The sequence below is a fragment of the Homo sapiens genome, chromosome 7 (assembly GCF_000001405.40).
Source record: "Homo sapiens chromosome 7, GRCh38.p14 Primary Assembly".
Lineage (NCBI taxonomy): Eukaryota > Metazoa > Chordata > Mammalia > Primates > Hominidae > Homo > Homo sapiens.
This window is the reverse complement of record NC_000007.14, coordinates 48,110,733-48,114,659: the sequence shown is the minus strand read 5'-3', so window position 1 is coordinate 48,114,659 and position 3,927 is coordinate 48,110,733. Positions and strand designations below refer to the sequence as shown.

The 3,927-nt window shown below is 47.9% G+C and overlaps 1 long non-coding RNA gene across 2 annotated transcripts; it reads left to right on the top strand.

Moving 5' to 3' along the window:
* The first annotated feature begins 284 nt into the window (after positions 1 to 284).
* Positions 285 to 3,485, top strand: LOC105375271 (uncharacterized). Of its 2 annotated transcripts, none has more exons than XR_927253.3 (4): positions 285 to 632; positions 1,428 to 1,568; positions 2,747 to 2,867; positions 2,956 to 3,485. It is a non-coding gene; the product is annotated as an uncharacterized LOC105375271 (long non-coding RNA). The 2 variants fall into 2 exon arrangements; XR_007060320.1 differs by having other exon boundaries at positions 503 to 632; positions 1,476 to 1,568; positions 2,956 to 3,157.

Here is a 3,927-nt window from a genome sequence, read left to right as displayed (position 1 = left end):
AAGTGACAACTGGCCGGGCACAAGGAGGGGTGTTTAAGGTTGAGGTGAGACTGGATTGGCCTCAGGGAACTACTGCCACAGGAGGAAAATGTGAGCCAGAAAGAGGCCCCAGGGCAAATGGCACCAAGCTCAGCTATCTGGGGAAGAGTTTAAATCTGTTCATGAGCCCCTCGCACCCGTGCTTCTCTACCTGTGACCTCATCCCATCGTCACAAGAGCCCTGTGTGGTACATGGAATTTCGTAGGAAAGGAAACTGCTGTTCAGTGAAGGGAGGAACCTGCCCAGACAGGCCTGGGAACCTGCCAGCAAGGCAGTCCACCACCACGTCCTTTTGCCTCTGGCCGCGGCACACTGGAGGGAAGCCGTGGGGCCCTGCAGGGAACCCTGCCTTGTCCAGACTCTGCAAGGTGCCTCTGCAGGGCTTCTGGCGTCCCTTCCACAGGAGCTATTTGCAACCCTGGGAATTGTAGAGAACTTCTGTCCTGCCTGGAGAGGCTTGACTGCCCCTGTGGGCCCTGCTGAGAGGCTGGCTCTGCTTCCATCTGTACTTCATGCTCCTCACTCCGTGTGAACTCCTGCCACTGGGACTGCCTCTGAGAACCAGTCACAGCACCTGCCAGCTTCCCTCATGGTGAGTGCAATTCAGCAGCTCATGCCTATAATCCCAGAACTTTGGGAGGCCGAGGTGGGCAGGTCACGCGGGTGGATCACTTGAGGTCAGGAGTTCCAGACCAGCCTGGCCCACGTGGCCAAACCTCATCTCTACTAAAATTACAAAAATTAGCCTGGCGTGGTGGTACATGACTGTAGTCCCAGCTCTCAGGAGGTTGAGGCAGGAGAATAGCTTGAACCTGGGAGGCAGAATTTGCACTGAGCTGAGATAGCACCACTGCACTCTAGCCTGGATGACAGAATAAGACTGTCTCAAAAAAAAAAAAAGTATTTTCCATGTGTAAGGATAAAATGATGAACCTTTCTTGTGGGAGGTAGTTGCTTCCCTCCTCCCTCCTTAGAGTGCCTCCAGAATCAGCCGGGTGAGAGATTTTGATTTTATAAAGCAAGGTCTAGGGCCTTCTGCCCCCTAGAACTGGGAACACATGCACCCAAATAACTCAGGCACCCTCGGGAGGCACGCAGGGACTGTCACAAGATCATCCAGTCACCCTTCAAGGAGATCTGGGGGAAGTTCTCATTTTTCCTCCACTTCACTGTGTAATGTAAGACTCCCTCCACATAGTCCCCTCCCACACGCGTGGAGTCTCAGCACACATAACTGGGGCTTTCTCTCTCCTAGACTGGACATGGAAAGGCCTACCACTGGCGGGTTGGCTTTATTTCCATAACACACATGTTCATTTCATTTCTGTATGGCAGTCATGATTTTACCCTTTTTAAAATTTTCTTCCTACAAAACATTCACTGAAAGAGACCCTAAAGGAGAACTCTTACCAGCCCCCACCCCACCCCACCGCAGCACAGACTACGCTGGGATGCCAAGGACTGACATTCATACCTGTGTTCTCCTCTCCTTGTGAAGTCCAGAGAACTGAGTGCTACTCTTTTCCTAGTAAGTAAACTTCTGCATGGCTGTGCATGTATGACAATGTGTGCATGAATGTGCATGGAAACGCACAGGTGTGTATGTGTGCACATATGTGAATAACACACTGTGGCCGCACAGTCCCAACCCTCACACAGACCTGAGCCCAGGCTGTGTCCTCATCTGGCATTTGGGGATAACACAGATGGGGAGAGGGCCAGGCAGGATCGCTGATGGAAGTTCCACACAAGGGGCCTGACAACGATGGCTCAATACATATTAGCTATTATTAAAAGCTCACATCTGCAGAGCTGATCCTACTCCATGAAAATCGGTCAGAAATCACTCTCCTTCATGTACGTGGTAACTGAAAAACTACTAAGCACCAGCAGAGCAGTACTATTTTCTTATACTAGCACTGCTTCCTTATTTTATAAGTTGAGCCTAATGTCTGGGTGGTGATTAATGAGATGATATTCTACTATTACATACATACCAAGGAGTACTGAAATATGAGTAAGCTGCAATGGAACCCAGAAGCCCTGATGTGAAAGTCATTCCTAACCTAGGAAACAGAACATCTTTGATGTCCTTGGGGGTCCCCCCTCCTCCCAAATGCACCCTGCCTCCCAACAGAGGAAACTCCTGATCTCAATTGGGGTTTCTCAATCCCTGGTGGAGTTTTTTCCCCTAGTCTTACAATGAAATGCACGTAATCCTAAACAACATATTGTTTAGTTTTGTCCATTTTCAAACTTTATATAAATGGAATCATGTTGTAGGTACTATTCTACAATTTGCTTTTTTCACTTAGAATGTTACCTGAGATGGTTCTGTACTGATGGTGAAGGTGTCTGCATTTATTTTCACTGTTTTTCATCATCTGAGCACACCAAACTCATTGCATTTGTTCTCTGGCACATGGATATTTGGGGACTTCTGGCTTTTGTTACCGAGGCCTTTGCAATTATGAACATTCCTGTCCATGTTTCCTGGGCCACATGAGTTCTCTCCATGCAAGCCCAGGAGCAGGAGTGGAATTACCGGATAATACAATATATGATGGACACCTGGCTTTAAAACGTGGCTTAGTGCTAGGCTTAAGGATAAAGGTATAGGAGACGCACAGCTCATGCTCTAACATATTCCACTGTCCCTATTGTCATTTATAAAGACAAACCATCATCTCATTGTTTCTGGTCAAGGTGGCATTGTCACCGCTGTGATGAGACTGGACCGCGAGGAGGCAGCAGGAGGAGCGTGGCCACCTCTGCAATTGACACCAAAGCCCAACCTTTTATGTGAGAGCGTGGCAGGCTTCCTGAGGTAAACTCTTGACTAACTCACTAGTGACGTGCTGATTTTCCAATTTACAAAGGGCTGGATAATTATTAACATTTTTTTTTCACATTAGTGGGAGGCATTCTGAGCATATCACTTAAGGACTGCACTAGAGGAAAACATGGAGTGAACTCGCTGACAACGATTTTTGAAATCCAGGGTAATTAGTTCCATCAGAACAATCCCAATTACATTCCTAATTCTCTCTGCCTTGCTGAAAGCACCGAAAGTGAACCATGTTGGTGTCATTATATTCCTGCTCAGAAGAGTCTTTATCACCAGCGCTGGGAATGGAGGAGGGGTTGAGGAAGGGGCCAGTGCCCAGGTTGTGGGAAGCCCCCACAAGGGGACCAAGCCAATGATACCAGCGTGGCACAAGGGCCTGAAAGTCAAAGAGTGGCCAGTGCGGGGTGAGGAAGGGGACCAAGTTTCTGGTCGTCTCCCGAGGAATTCAAGTAACACTCATGTGAGGACATTTATAACGTCAGCTCCAGAGACATCTTGGTAGCCAAATGAGGAAAGAAAATAACTTTCATCTGAGGAATTTGAGACCTTTCAAATTATTACAGCCAGAGAGACATTAAAATGGGACAATAAGCCAAACACAGTGGCTCACGTCTCTAATCACAATGCTTTGGGAAGCCTAGGTGGGAGGGGCGCTTGAACCTAGGAGGTCAAGACCAGCCCGGGCAACACACAAGACCCCATCTCTGCAAAAAAATACAAAAATTAGCCAGGTTGTGGTGGCGTGCACCTGTATTCCCAGCCACTCAGAAGGATGAGGTGGGAGGATTGCTTGAGCCCAGGAGGTCAAGGCTGCAGTGAGCTGTGATTGCACCACTGCACTCCAGCCTGGGTGACAGAGCAAGACCTTGTCTCAAGAAAAAGACATCAATCACTCCCCCTTTTTAACTATGTATTCATCTCTTGGAACTGCTTGCTATTGCCACAAGTAGCTATAAATTAACTTAATAATGCCACACTGAATACTAGAACCCACACTCTATGGCTTAACAATGTGTAGCCATTGATCAATATCATTTCT